Below are 15,631 nucleotides of genomic sequence, written 5' to 3'. Positions count from 1 at the left end.
CAATAAACATATGTGTGCATGTGTCTTTATAGCAGTGTGATTTATATTCCTTTGGGTATATACCCAGTAATGGGATGGCTGGGTCAAATGGTATTTCTAGTTCTAGATCCCTGAGGAATCGCCACACTGTCTTCCACAATGGTTGAATTAGTTTACAGTCCCACCAACAGTGTAAAAGTGTTGCTATTTCTCCACATCCTCTCCAGCACCTGTTGTTTCCTGACTTTTTAATGATCGCCATTCTAACTGGTGTGAGATGATATCTCATTGTGGTTTTGATTTGCATTTCTCTGATGGCCAGTGATGATGAGCATTTTTTCATGTGTCTGTTGGCTGCATAAATGAATAGACTAAGATTTCAGTGATTGAGTCTCATGGCATGTGATAAAGAGTTAGTGATAAAGATTTAAATGGCACATAACATCATCCCAATTGAATGCATCGGGGGGTCATGATGCTGTGTGGTTAGTAAGATATACTCAGTGTGCCTATAACCCAGATTGGCTTCTGTGCTGGCCTTGTTGTTTGACATTAACCTCAGTAATGTCCACAGTGCTTCCACCCCTCTCTCATCCTCAAAGATCTTCTCACCACTAATATAGCAGCAAAGAGGGATAGTCTCTGCAACTTCAGGCTTTCTTGCTGTCCCCAAAGACAAACACACAGGACTTTTGATTTTAAGGGGATGGCAAAACCAAAATGCATGGGGAAATTACAAAATTTAAGCAGTTTTATGATGTTGTTATGACTATGTTCCCTGATCTGTGGTAGCTGACTTCTGAGTAGTCATTGAAGGAATCACTTCTGATCTCTAAGATTTAGTCTTGAATATGAGTTTTTCAGCTTTCCTTTGTCTATGCCATCCCTAGCCCCAGTCTCTTGGAGTAATAACAACCCCCATTCAAGAGGAATCCTCCTGTAGGCCTGAGGACCCAATTTGTGAAGACAAAGTGTTTGCTTTTTCTTACAATGAGTGACAATCAATATAGCTCACAAGAATGTTTTCTTTGGATCCTTTCCTTACAAGGATTTCTGCTGCCATTTATCACCAATTGAAAAGGAACATATTAGAATATATGCTATTGCAAGATTTGTTGTTAATTTTAAAACACAAAATGGTGAAAATAATTAGATATAGTTAAGTTTAAATTGTCTACACTGTGCTCCAAACTGCAAATTGAATTAAATTAAATTTTGCTTTAGGGTTTGAAATGGAAATTACAAGCGCAATATTACAGAAGTGTGGATTTTAGTTACAATGTCTCTATGAGAAAGTCTAAAAGTTAAACATAAGCAAAACAACAAAAACATCTAAATACCAGGTTAGTTTTCTCTTAATCTCATATTTTTGTTTTAAATGTACACATTTCTGAACTACTTACCAATACTTCTTTTGTCTTTAATTTTTACCTCTTTTAATGTATACCATCAATTTGATTACCATCAATTTGTTTTCATTAGATGATTATCTCATCAAAGTGGGTATGGAAGATGATTGTTTGCGAAAATAGGCTTCTTGAGGGCGGATTTTATGTTTAATGTTTGCTTTTATCCCTAGGAAAAATAAATAAATACCACATGCAGAAAAATCACTTACATGATAATTGTTTATAAAACAATAAAATGCAAATCTAGTGTTTTAAATCCTACCAAGAAGTAGTATGAAATATCAAAATGTTGACTAGAATGTATCCTTTTATAAGAAAGTTCTGCTAGACTTAAATATCTATCCCATACCGGGACTTCATATTTTACAAGTTGAGGTTCTCCCAAAGCTACGCAGCCAACAAGCTTTCATCTTTCATCTTCTATAATGAACACATTATATCCATGGAACCTAGGTCAGAGAAGATTAATGTGTACTGAACAGGGAGGGACAATTCAAGCAGGTACAAGTTTTAAGGTGATTATGATCCATGCTATCCTGAGGGCATGGAAGGAAGAGGAGGTTCCAGGGGCACAAAACCAACTCACTGGGCACGTACAACTCCTCAGATGCTTTATGATACCACTGAGTGCATGAGGGCACACACAGAGGAGCATATACAGAGGGTGCAGTGATGTATGTGCAAGAGCTCATTGGCTGTTGCCATAGAGGCAGCCAGTAATGGCATATAGGGAACAAATAGAAGGACATAAAAAGAGATGACTGTGCCACATATACTGAGAAAGAAACCTGCTAAATCCTCTCCTCTCATTGGTCATCGCTATGGAGACAGCCTTTAAAAGCCCATAGGAGATGGAAATTAGATTCTAGTTTAAACACACACACACACAGACACACACACACACACACGACACACCACACACCCCTTCTAGATGTGAGCATCCACATGAACAATATTTAAAGTCAATTTCATTATCTGTTTTCAGGAGTCATTAATAACATACAGCAAGGAGAATCCCCCTAGATACACAGAAAAATATCGGCATTATTTAATAATGTTGAAAAACATCTTTTTTCCTACCCTGGTATTCATTTCAAAAAATTATCCAATTCATCCAATTTTATCTCTAGGTTATATGTCAGATTCCAATACCACTGGATCCCATTAACAGGTCATCCTTTCAAATAATAAATACAACCCCCTGCTGCACAGAAAGTGCTTAAAGACCTTGAAGCCCTGATGTTTGGCAGGTAGACATTTCAAGTTTTGTCGATTGTTTACACCTTGGATAAATGTTTTTCAGTGAGGCATTAATAACAAGGTTCCCCAGTACCCCATTATGTTAAAAAAAATCCGTTGAGCTTTAACCTGCTGCTCACAAGGCATAAAGGAAATGGTCGTTTCTTAAATTAGCTTTTTCTGTTTCTTTTAACATTATAGTAGTTTGTACCAACTCAATTACCAACATAAGGATCATCTCTTGAATTATTTTCAGTTTTTCATTTGCTCTAACATCCTGCAGTAAGTAGTAGCTAAGCAATCTAAAACTTCGATTTATCCTGGTTTTAAAATAATACATGGCAATATACAACTTGGTCTAAGGAAAATGTATATTGTAGGAAAAACATATTAAAATGATGCCTCTGAGAATATGGAAAGTAGTCCCCACTTTTTATTTACTAGGAAAAGACCCAGCAAATAGAAGAGTCGAATAACTTATGTTTATGTGTTATAAAGAATTTTTTTCTTCCTTGTGTGATACGAATTTGTTAGGTAGTAAACTAGGAAAGAGTATATGTTTGAACTTTCTTGATACTACAGATTGAGGTGGAATTTCACTGTGGCTAGATTCTTTAGGAGATATGAAACAGACATGATAAAGTATACATTTGAAGTGACCTAGAGGTGGGAAGCACAGGTAATTATTACTCTTTGCAAGGACCATTCTAGCTATGAAAAGGAACTGGAGAGAGGGAAGAGAGAGTCACAGGTAGTTCCTGGATTTATTCCTGGAAATTTACTTTTAAAGAACAAATAAGAAATTGTACAACCAAGGAAGGCACATGCTTTTGTTGCAAAAGTCTAACTATCAATAGGGGCCACTAATTGCTATGGAATGTTCTGGGCCACTTTTCTAGCTGAGGGGAAGGATTATGTCTTCTGCTTGAAAAATAGAGAGCTAGAGACAGAAAGGTCAAAATAAAGATAGACTGTCCACCAACCCAATGCAACCAAATATTTAACATAAACCCTTCTGCCCTCCAAAGGTCAGAGCCAAACAAGCTACACTCTATGGGAACTTAACTGAGTTTTCATTATGTCAGTATGTCCTAGAATCATAGATTTTCTTGGCTGGAGATCAGCCCATATTTGGAAACGATAAAGCTCTATCTATGCACTTGATGTCAGAAGCAATCCTGAACCCAATGTACCTTAACATTTATGGAATACATCTGCCACAGGCTGTCTACACAACAGCGTGACAGATAAAAAGAAACACCAGAACTATGCAGAGGAGGGACTGGATCTTATCAGTGAGACAGAAAGATATGCTTACGTGGACTCTAAAACGCTCCGCGGTATCTAACTTTATTTCTTTGACACCTAAAACGGGATGCAACCTTCAAGCATGACCGATCTGTTATTTTTAAACAGAGGGGAAAATCTGGCAATGTAAATAGAAAGTATCTGTTTACATAGGTTTTTTAGAATTTGATCTGAAATTTTAGCAAGTTGCAGAATGGGTTGTGAAGCACAACATTTCATCTCTTTGATTCTAGACACTATCCTCAGAAATTAGATTTGAAAAATGAGCTTCATTTTCGAAGAACATATTGTAAGTAATAATAATAATAGAATTGACTTATTTAAATCGGTCATAATGATATAAGAAATCTTAGAAACTTGTTTAATTTTCCTGGGAATCTAATATTCTTATTTTAGGTTATTACACACAGAGATTATTAATATAGTTTTAAGTTAATTGACTTTTCATGCTGTAACTTTAGTTGCCACTATACAGATTTTCAATTGCAAAGAAAGCTCTCTAGGGGTTATTTTCCCTTAATTTCTTTGTATTATTTAATATGTATTTTAACTCCTTTTACTATCATTCCTAATCCTCTTAATTATAAACCTGAAATTTCTGTAATTGCCAGCCAATGAATGGGAGTGCTTGGACTGTGACCTGCACATCCAAGCAGTCTGACTTTCCATGGGCACAGTTACTATGTGATGAAACTATAGCATTTACTTATGCTCAAATATATAAATATATATCATATATAATATATGATATACATGTATATCATATATAATATATGATATACATGTATATCATATATAAATAAATATAACATTTATTTATACTCAATTATGTTATTTTCTTTATTATACTTTAAGTTCTGGGTTATGTGTGCAGAGTGTGCAGTTTTGGTACACAGGTATACACGTACCTTGGTGGTTTGCTGCACCCATCAACCTATCACCTACATTAGGTATTTCTCCTAATGTTATCCCTCCCCTAGCCCCCAACCCCCCGACAGGTCCCAGTGTGTGATATTCCCCTCCCTGGGTCCATGTGTTCTCATCATTCAACTCCCACTTATGAGTGAGAACATGCGGTGTTTCATTTTCTCATCTCGTGATAGTTTGCTGAAAATGATGGTTTCCAGCTTCATCCATGTCCCTGCAAAAGACATGAACTCATTGTTTTTTATGGCTGCATAGTATTCCATGGTGCCACATTTTCTAAATCCAGTCTATCGTTGATGGACATTTGGGTTGGTTCCAAGTCTTTGCTACTGTGAATAGTGCCACAATAAATATATGTGTGCAGGTGTCTTTATAGTATAATGATTTATAATCCTTTGGGTATGTGCCCAGTAATGGGATTGCTGGGTCAAATGGTATTTCTGGTTCTAGATCCTTGAGGAATCACCACACCGTCTTCTAAAACATGTATTCATATTAGGATATTTCAGCAGGAATAATAACAAAGTTTCCCCATTCCTACTAATCTGTTTATCAAATCAGTAAAAACAAAACAAAACAAAACAAAAAGACATAAAAACCACAATAGACAGTTGAGAAATAACTTGAATGAATCAACAGGTCACAAAAAAGCTGATTGAAAAAATATGCAACCTCGCCAGAATTCAACTATACAAAATAAAATTTAAAAATATTTTAGAATGTTATAAACTGTCCTAAATAAATAATCATGTACTTTTATATTATAAAATTTGTAGCAAATGATAATATGAAAATGATATATTTTAAAGATTAGGTAACTTTGAGCAAAGTTTAAAAGACCACAAATATTTGGGTAAAATAAGAGAGCATCTTCATTAACCTGTAACAATTATGAATCTTAATTCTTCTGTTCCTTACAGATTTAAACAGAGGGTTTTTTCTCTCAAGTTTTTTTCAGAGTTCCTCAACTGTTGGAGTTAAAAATGTTACTGTACCCTTTCTCATTTTAATACTTATCTATGATCTCAGCTTACCTTTAACTTAGCTAGTAAAGAAATTTCCCAGAGGGTTAACTCATTTCTTCAGAGTTCTAACTTTTCCTTTCTTATGGAATTTGACAGAAAGAGACCATCGTTGTATAGGTCCTGCATTTCCCAGAATAACTTCTGTGTGACAGAGTTTTTCAAATCAGCAGAAAAATTTCCTCTTCTGACCATATTTCTTTTTCATACCTATTCTTCTCCCTTTTTGTAACCAAAACTTATTTAAATCCAAATTCCCACAGCACACTTGGGCTCACATTGCATTTTCCCTTTAAAGCCATAGGAGGCTTTAGCTCACTTATAGGTCTACTTCTTGTTATTTAAGAAGACATGTCCTTTCATTTTAAAACAGATTAAAAAATACATTTAAACAGATACGTAAAATTGTTTCTTTCTCTATACCAACTAATGTATCCTCATAGTTGCACAAAAGAACAGATTTAATCTATTACTGCATTCTCCTAATTCAGTGCTCCCAGAGAATAAATTATGATATTCAGAAATGTCATTTCTTAGTAATATCATTAATTTAAACTTTTGATAAAACAATGCTACATATTTGAAAACAGATAAATATTTCTGATCTCACATTACTGACAAGATACTTTCAGTGATTACAAATAAACTCTCTGTGTTTTTAGTAGCTCAGTTATTTTTTTAAATTCCCATTATTTCAGAAACCACCTAAGAGTAAAACTACAGATTCTAAAAATAGTAAATAAAGTTGAAATATTCTTCTGTATTTTTCATTGAAATATTTTATGTCTATAATTTCTTTTAATTAGGAAAAAATTCTAATTTTCTTACAATAGAAAAATATTACCACTCCAGTCTCATTTTCTGTTAACCCTTCCCTGCCCATTATTATATCTAGCTACCTGAAATGCCCTGGGTTTTCCTTTGCATTTTACAGATTCTTAATCATTTTTCAAGATCAACTCAAAGTCCAATATAGAGCTATCATTAACAACCAGATTTGAATCATTCATTGCACTATCTGTGTTCCTTTAGGTCTTCATTCATACTACTTTCTACACATTAGTATCTTTTCTTGAAGTTTATCTCACATACATTTATATCTCCTTTCAGTTTGTCAGATTCTTAAGTGCAAGCATAATGTCATCTTTTACCTTTATATTTTCAAAGTCTGGCAAAGTTGCTGGTACAAAATAGATGCCACATGAACATTTAACGAAAAGATAAATCAGTGTTAAGATTAGGAACATAGGCAGAGCAGTAAGACCTAGACAGGAAGCAAAATACTTCAGCCGAGACAGGAGGAAAGGTTGTAAATACACAGTATTGCTCCTTTATAAAGAAGCTTTCACCATTTCAAGGGTGAGGTGAAAAAAATCTTGGGAAGAAAATTCATCAAATAATTATGAATTTGTTTTCAAAGCATTCATACTTCTGGTTTGGCCAAACTACAAATAGCTATGAATTGATTTCACAACATATCCTCTAAGGAATCAGGAAGAAACCAAGAAAAGCACGATTCAGAAAATCAGAGAATGGTTCAATAGGGTCATTAACATCTTATCTATTATCAGATCAAGCTGTCGTTAGAAAGAACAAATGCAGCTTAATCCTATTTTAGGACCAGAGTTGGGAAACAAGAAGCCTATGAAACCTTTAATATCTTTTGTATTAGTCAGAGTTCTTCAGAGAAACAGAACATATATATATATATATATATATATATATATATACACACACACACACACACACACACACACTATCTTATAAATATATAAACATTTATATGATACAAATATATCCTATTATTATAGGAATTTGTTATCTCGATTATGGAGGGCGACAAGTCCCACAGTCTGCCATCTGCAGGATGGAGAACCAGGTAAGTCAGTGGTATATTTCACTGTAAGTCCAAAGCCCTGATAAACAAGACCATCAGTTTCCAAAGCCTGGAGAATATAGATGCTCCAGCTCAAGAAGAGGGAGCAAATTTATTCTTCCTCTGCCTTTTTGTTCTATTCAGTCCCTCAGTGAATTGAATGAGGCTCACCCACATTGGGGAAGGAAATCTTCTTTACTCAGTCTACCAATTCAAATGTTAAGGGTCCATAAAGACCCTCATTTGACATGCCCAGAAATAATATTTACCAGCTATCTGGGCATCCCTTAGCCCAGTCAAGTTGACACATAAAATTAACCACCACAGTCTACAATATCCAAAAAGACATGTATCTTCTTCTTCCTCAAGGGCACTAAGTAAAGTCTTTCTTTAGTTGAAACATGTGAGTGGGCTAGGAATATTTTAGATAAACTAGTTCTTACACCTCAAGCTAGTCAGAAGCTGTTCTCCAGTGCAAGCAGTTGTAAGACTTTGAATGTATTCTGGTCAGAGTAAGCAGAATGTGAAAGTAAACACTTGAAAATTCTTACCCATGTTCCCCTTCTCCAAACTCCTGTAGCCTTTCCCTCTTTTGTAAACCAGTCTGTCTTCATATATATGTTAACATCATTAATTATATTCTAGTTCCTTTCACATTTAATCATATTTCAAACATATTTCTAGGCCTTATTCTTCCAAATTTGATGAATAAAATATACATAGATTTGATAATTTCATAAATTACATGAAGGTTTTAGTAATTTAACTCTTAAAATTTAACCTTATTTTTCTAGTTCTGAGATAATCTTGTGCTAGCCTTCGGTACACTACCTCTAAATCTCAGTGGGTTACACTAATTTTATCTGTACATGTCTAATATTATAAGCCTTTGTGAAAACTACAACTCGACAAAAATAAGGTCCTTAGGCAACTCCTATAACCATTATTCACAGACAGTCAAATCTACTCTTGTTGAAGTGGAAGATTTTTGCAAAAACTTGACATTGTCCAAACTAAGCAGCTTGTTTGGAGCCTGAAGTGTAGATACACAGTCATCATTAATTGAGAAGTCTTCTGAAATTTTTGTTGTTGTTGTTTAACTTTGACTTTCTAATCTTTAGAATTTTTTAATGACTCAGAGAGACATTATTTTCTGGGGCTTCAAATAAGGTAGCAAGCTTTTATAATATATTGGCTGTAAGCGCTATAAAGATAAGTTCTTTTAAAAACGCCCTACATCATTTCCCCAGAAGCCATACTTGATCTTCTTTCTCTCACAGCCCACATTCAAACCTCTTAGGAAATCCTGATGGCTCTGCCATCAAAATATATCCATAATCTGAATACTCCTCCCTCCCTACCCCGAGTGCTACCACTGGTCTAGATCCTTGTATTAGTCCGTTCTCAAGCTGCTAATAAAGACATACCCAAGACTGGGTAACTTAAAAAGGAAACAGGTTTCATTGACTCACAGTTCAGCATGGCTGGGGAACCCTCAGGAAATTTACGATCATGGCAGAAGGCAAAGGGGGAGCAAGGCTCTTTCTTCACAAGGAGGCAGGAAGGAGAAGTGCAAGCAGGAGAAATGCCAGATGCTTATAAAACCATCAGATCTTGCGAGACTCACTCATTATCATGAGAAAAGCATGAGGGGAACCGCCACCATGATTCAATTGCCCTTGACACATGGGGATTATGGGGATTACAATTGATGGTGAGATTTGTGTGGGGACACAGAGCAAAACTGTATCAACCCTCATGAATTACTACACCCTGAATTAATATAATTACCTCCCAAAAACTGCTTTGTTTTTATCCTTTCTTCCCTGTAGTCAACACAGAAACAAAAGAGATCATTTTCAAACATTGATTTGTTCTCTTCTGCTCAAAACTCTATAGTGGCTCCCTATTTCGGAGTAAAAGCAAAGATCCTTACAGTGGCCTACAAGGCTCTGCATGGTCTACTCCTCCATCCCATCCCCTGCATTACCTCTCTGGTCTCTTTCCCTGTCTCACTCCACCTAAACACATAGGCCTCCTTGTTCTTCTTCAAATATATCAGCCACTTGGCCACTTAAGACATACACATTGGTTGTGTCATTCATCTGCAATTATCCTTTACCTCTTTCAAGTCTGTATTCAATATCATCTCTTCAATGGGGCTACATGACCGCCTGATTTAAAATGGCAACTTTATCCTCTCTCTGGCACTATTGATCTCCCTTATCCTGCTCTGTCATCTCTTTCTCATAACACATCATCTTCTAATAAACTAAATAATTAGTTTCTTTATTGTTGACCCACCATCTCTACAATATAAGCTTCTTGAGAGCAGATATTTATCTGTTTTGTGTGGTGATATATCCCAACTACCTAGAACAGTACCTGGCTCATAGCAAGTGTTCAATACATATTTATGAAATGAAAGGATGGATGAAAATGTTCCTATTATCAGCTAAACCAGTTATGAATTTAGAGTTCTTTTGCATGTAACAAAAACATGATTGCTGTGGTTTATACAGGAGTTATTTTTTCTCATGTAGACAGTACCAGATTGCTTATCTTTAGACCCCATCACCCTTAGTATGGGGTTCCTTCCTTAGGTCCTTATGAGGGCTGCTGTACTTACAGACACTGTCCACTAGCTGAGTCTGTGCCTTTTCTGGATTCTTAGTCTAATGACTTCTGATTACATGTCATTGGCCAGGACAGGAACAATGGCATTTATAGCTGCAAGGAAAATTGTGGAGTGTCTATATTTTTTAATGGACATGTTGCATCCCATAACAGAAGATTAGAATTAACACATGTAAATGCTTAGAAAAATACACAACATAGAATAAATGGAGCATGTACATGTTAGCCATTACCATCATCTTTGTCTTTTTTTTTAATTCTGAAAGTGTTCTGTGAATATTTAGCCAATGAGAAAATTATAATGACTACATTGAATTAATAACAATATACTAAAGCTTTTAATTTATAAATAAAAGAATGATTAAAGTAGTTAAAATTCATTTGCTGTAAAGAACAAAATTGACAATAAGATCTGAGAGTTTAATTTTATGTAAAATCTACACATTAAATGCTACTTTGCTTTGAATCAGGTTAAGTGCACACAGATAAAGTCATACTTATGTATGTATTCTCAAATATTACTGATGTATTTATATGCAAATGCCTGTTATGCATCAAGAATTGTTCTAGGAACTACTCTATATTCTGTGGCCAAAACAGTAAAACCAAAAATGTCTTTCCAGAGTTTACATTCTAATCATAATAATGGTATGGAATTTATATTTTAAAAAACTCTATCTATAATCCCAACTCTCCAAATAACTTTCTAAATTAATTTACCTAATTCCTGAATATTAGAAAACTTCTAAAATAAACAACTTATTTAAAAATATGTTCCCCTGAGTTTGAGGCTGCAGTGAGCCATGATCATGCCACTGCACTCCAGCCAAGGCAACAGAGCAAGGCCCTGTCAAAAAATAAATAAATAAATAAATAAATCCTCTGTATCGTAAGTCTTAGATAAGAATATCATGCAAAGTGTATTTTCTTTCTCCATGTTACAGGATAAGCAGTCTATTTCTTCCAAATTTTATAAATAACTAGAGTTTATTTTGTATATGTATAGTGTACTTGCACATGTACACTAATATTTCATTTTGTTTTATTTTTAGCCTTGGTGTGCTATTCTTAACAAATTTATTTTGTTTAATTCATGTCTGTAAACATTTTATGTGTAAAGAACCTATTGATCTAGACCTAGAGAAATCATTTATTTGTAAAATTATTTTGCAGAGTCACAAATATTAAATAACATTCCTTTAAGTTACTCACAAATATATAGGATGAGTTTAGGAGTGGGGAGAAATGGAAAAAGGTAATTACATTTAAAAACCCATCATTTGGAATGAGCTGTTAGCTGAAACCAATCTGAAACTATTTTATATCTTACGTTAGGTCAAGTCTAAAATAGGGAACAATCATTTGGGAAGGAAATAAGCAACACAACTCAGAAATCCTATGAGAGAATTTTCAATAAAAAATTTATTTCAAATTACAGTATTTCTGTATTGTGGTGGGAAATCATCCTTACTAAGGTTATTTCTGGCTGTCAGGGACTTGGGCTCACTTCCTAGACCCCACTTGTACCCCAGGCTCCCTGTGCATCACTCCTAACACAGCAACCTTGGGCTCAGTCCCTTCACTTCTGAAAATTGCTGTTCTCATTATAGACCTATTTGGTGGAGATTGAAGGAGCTGTCTCAGCCCTCTTTTCAGCTATCAACTAGTACTTGCAGTTTCTGCTCACTTTTTGTTTTCTTCCCAGTCTTTGCTCATGATAGAAGCAAAGAGGTCAAAAAACAGCTCAATCGAAAACCTAGAATAAGGCTAATAGCCCAATTAGATTATGTTGTCAGACTTACAGCTTGAAATGTCAGAAAGTCTGAAGAACTGGTTAACCTATTACCTTTTCCCCAAACTGTTCACAAAATTGCAGTGTTTCAATCACAGGTATAAATCCTGGATCTCTCAGACAAAGAGTTCAACCACAGTAACAATGCTTTAAATAACCACCGTTTTTTTTTTTCTGTTTTATTTAATACGGTCATTGACTACATAACATATATGTATTTAGTATGGATGTCCATTCTGCTTGAGGTGGAAATAAATTTTTGCAAAATACTTTACCCTTTTGGCACTGAATTTTGTGGAGATTCAGTACATAACACATATGTTCATGTCTCTACTGACCATTTCCAATTAGGACAATTCAGAGTACTTCTTTTAGTCAAAGCCTTTTAAATAACCTTTCTGGTTCTTTATTTCTGCTAAAAATAGTGTGTGTGTGTCTGTGTGTGTGTGTTTAATGTTAACTGAAAACTATTAGAAATAATAAGAATATTTAAAAAGTCGTAGGTTACGTAATTAACATTAAATATAAATAGCTTTCCAATATTTAATCAGTAGCCATATAGAAAATCTAATGGGAGAAATAATCCCATTTGTAAGAAAAATTAAAATATAAAATACCCGTAACCTATAAACTTATAGGAAATATACATAATCCATATGTCTAAAACTTGCAAACTATACTAAGGAATTTTTTTTAAAAGACTTAAATAAATCATAATACACACTATGTACTTCTACACTATGAAGATAAAAGTGTAAAGATGTCATTTCTCCCCTAAATTATTCAATAATTTAAATGCAGTAACAATTAAAATACCAAAAGGATTTCTCTTTCAACTAGACAAAATTATATAAGAATAATCTAGAAAAATAAACATGTAAGGATATTAAGAAAATTCTAAAATTGAAGAGTGAAAGTGACTAGCCCGACTAGCTCTTAAGATGCCATGTAGCTTCAGTAATTAAACAGTTTGGTACTTGAGAAGAACAGATTATTAAAGTCATGAAATAGACCAAAATACATATAGATATTACCTTTATGTCAACGTTGTGTTTCAAATCAATGTGGAAAAACTTCTGTTTAATGAAAACTAAAATTATAACCATAAACAGAGTCAAACAACACACAAGAAAAGAAATTTTTTTTTTTTTTGAGACGGAGTCTTGCTGTGTCACCCAGGCTGGAGTGCAGTGGCGCAATCTCGGCTCACTGCAAGCTCCACCTCCCAGGTTTACGCCATTCTCCTGCCTCAGCCTCCCACGTAGCTGGGACTACAGGCACCTGCCACCACCCCTGGCTAATTTTTTTGTATTTTTTTTAGTAGAGACGGGGTTTCACCGTGTTAGCCAGGATGGTCTCGATCTCCTGACCTTGTGATCTGCCCGTCTCGGCCTCCCAAAGTGCTGGGATTACAGGCGTGAGCCACCGCGCCCAGCAGAAAAAGATATTTTTAACATGCAAAAAAAGATTAATTTCATTAATTTACAAAGAAATCATACATAGGAATCAGTAAGGAAAAGATGAAAAAAATCAGAGTGGACAATGGTAAAGATATGCTTGAGTGTTTCAATAGACAAGAAATACAAATTGCCAATTAGCAAGTAAAATTTTCAATCTCAAGTTAACAATTTAAGAAATACAAATCTAAAAAATTTTACAAATAAGATTGACAAAAATGTAGAAGTCTAACGATATCCAATGCTGGTAAAGATTTGAGACGAGGACACTCTTACATACTGGTTGTAGAGGTACAAATTGATTTAAGCTTTCAGGAGGGTATTTGGCAATATCGATCCAAATTTTAAAACCACATACTTTTTGGCCAGAAATTTCTCTGCTAGGCATTTACCCAGTGGAATGTTTGCAAAAGTGCAACAAGATATATGTGCTAGAATCTCTGTGGAAGATTGGTTTAAAATATTAAGCTACAATCATATAATGGAATATGGAGTCATTTATAAAGAATGAGGGGGATTTATATATGCTAATAAGGATATAATTCTAAAATATAAAATTCTTAAGTGAATTTTCAGATGAGGAACTATATGTATGAGTGTATTTATATTACATATAAATATTATATATAATATTTTGTGAGAGAGAAAGAGAGAGGAATCTTTTCTTTTTCTGGAAGAAAGAAAGGAAAAAAGTGCCTGTGATTACTTAGACAAAAAGTACCGGGGTTGTAAGTGAAGGTATTTGGAAGGAGATAGAAAACGAAAGCTTTCCCCTTGCAGTTTGTATCTTTCTATACCACATAGATTTTCCTTATCACATTCAATTATTTATTTAACATATCAATGCATTACCTAGGTGACAAAATTTTAGGGCAGTATTTACTTTCATTATTTTATTTATCTAAATTAAAAATGAAACAAAAATTAATGCTATTTTAACATTTCAAATAAATTGCTTTACATTGTCTATAATTCACTCTAAAATACTGCAGTATAGACAATATGATAGATTAGTTTCAGTTTAATCTTGCCCTAGGTAATTATCATTTGAAGTATACTAATCAGGAAGATCTACTTCAGGGGCAGTTAGTTAGCATTGACCCAAACCTGCAATCCAGAGGCTGCTACACCAGGCTTTCAAGTACGATATTTTATCTCTGGTCAACACCAAAGGCTTTAGATGTTAAAAGTGATTTTCACTGGTGAAATGAATGATGCTCAGATGCATGCATTGGTTAGAAATAATGTACAGATTTTCCCACCTTTGAATGAATAGCTTAGTATCTAGGCAACTAATGTCCTAACACTTCTGAATAAAGCCCCAGCTTATAAGTAAATTATTTGGCTGCCTGATGGAGGATTTTTGTCACCTGACTCTGTTAAAAGCTTAGCTGTATTTGATACTGAAACATACATTTGTCTCTATTGATGTTTGTATGCAAGTTTCTGTTAGAGTGACTAAAATGATACAGTTTGCAGAACAGGTTTTATGACTTTTTTTCAATAAACATTGCTATGAAATCTTCGTATGTGCAGCAAATTTGGTCTGAGACTCGTTTTCATTGTAACATATCATCTCATAGTGAAGTTATGGAGGAGGAAACCTACAGCCCTCACCTAAATTTGAATTATGGGAAGTCACTTCACATATCAACCCCAAAAAGATGAGTTATTGTGAATGACCAAATTATTTTAGATGAGCGTGCAACAAATTTATAATACAAGTATTAAGGGTAGTAGCTACAAGAAGAGAGCTTAGAAGCAATCTCAGCATGGTATACTCCCGCTCGGTTATCATACCTTATCTCCAGAAATATAGACCTGGCATTAGAAATTTAAGATTTGATTATGGCATCTTTATATTTTTTATTAAGCTTATAGAATTGTCTATTCCCCCCAACTTTCCTGTGTCATTTGAGATCACTATCATATTTCCAATTCTCCACCCCAGTGAGCATTTTTGCCTGGCATGTTGGCAACTTTTC

General features: G+C 34.5%; 1 long non-coding RNA gene across 1 annotated transcript in view; it reads left to right on the top strand.

The window, feature by feature from the left end:
- HRAT17 (heart tissue-associated transcript 17) overlaps nt 1-15,631 on the top strand; it is a 41,009-nt gene that overhangs the window by 14,276 nt on the left and 11,102 nt on the right. Inside the window, exons 3-4 of the long non-coding RNA NR_110162.1 lie at nt 1,204-1,322; nt 7,696-7,763. This is a non-coding gene — a long non-coding RNA (heart tissue-associated transcript 17). The remainder of the gene's footprint in view (nt 1-1,203; nt 1,323-7,695; nt 7,764-15,631) is intronic.

This window comes from Homo sapiens, chromosome 7 (assembly GCF_000001405.40).
Source record: "Homo sapiens chromosome 7, GRCh38.p14 Primary Assembly".
Taxonomy (NCBI): domain Eukaryota; kingdom Metazoa; phylum Chordata; class Mammalia; order Primates; family Hominidae; genus Homo; species Homo sapiens.
This window is presented reverse-complemented; position numbering and strand designations above follow the sequence as displayed.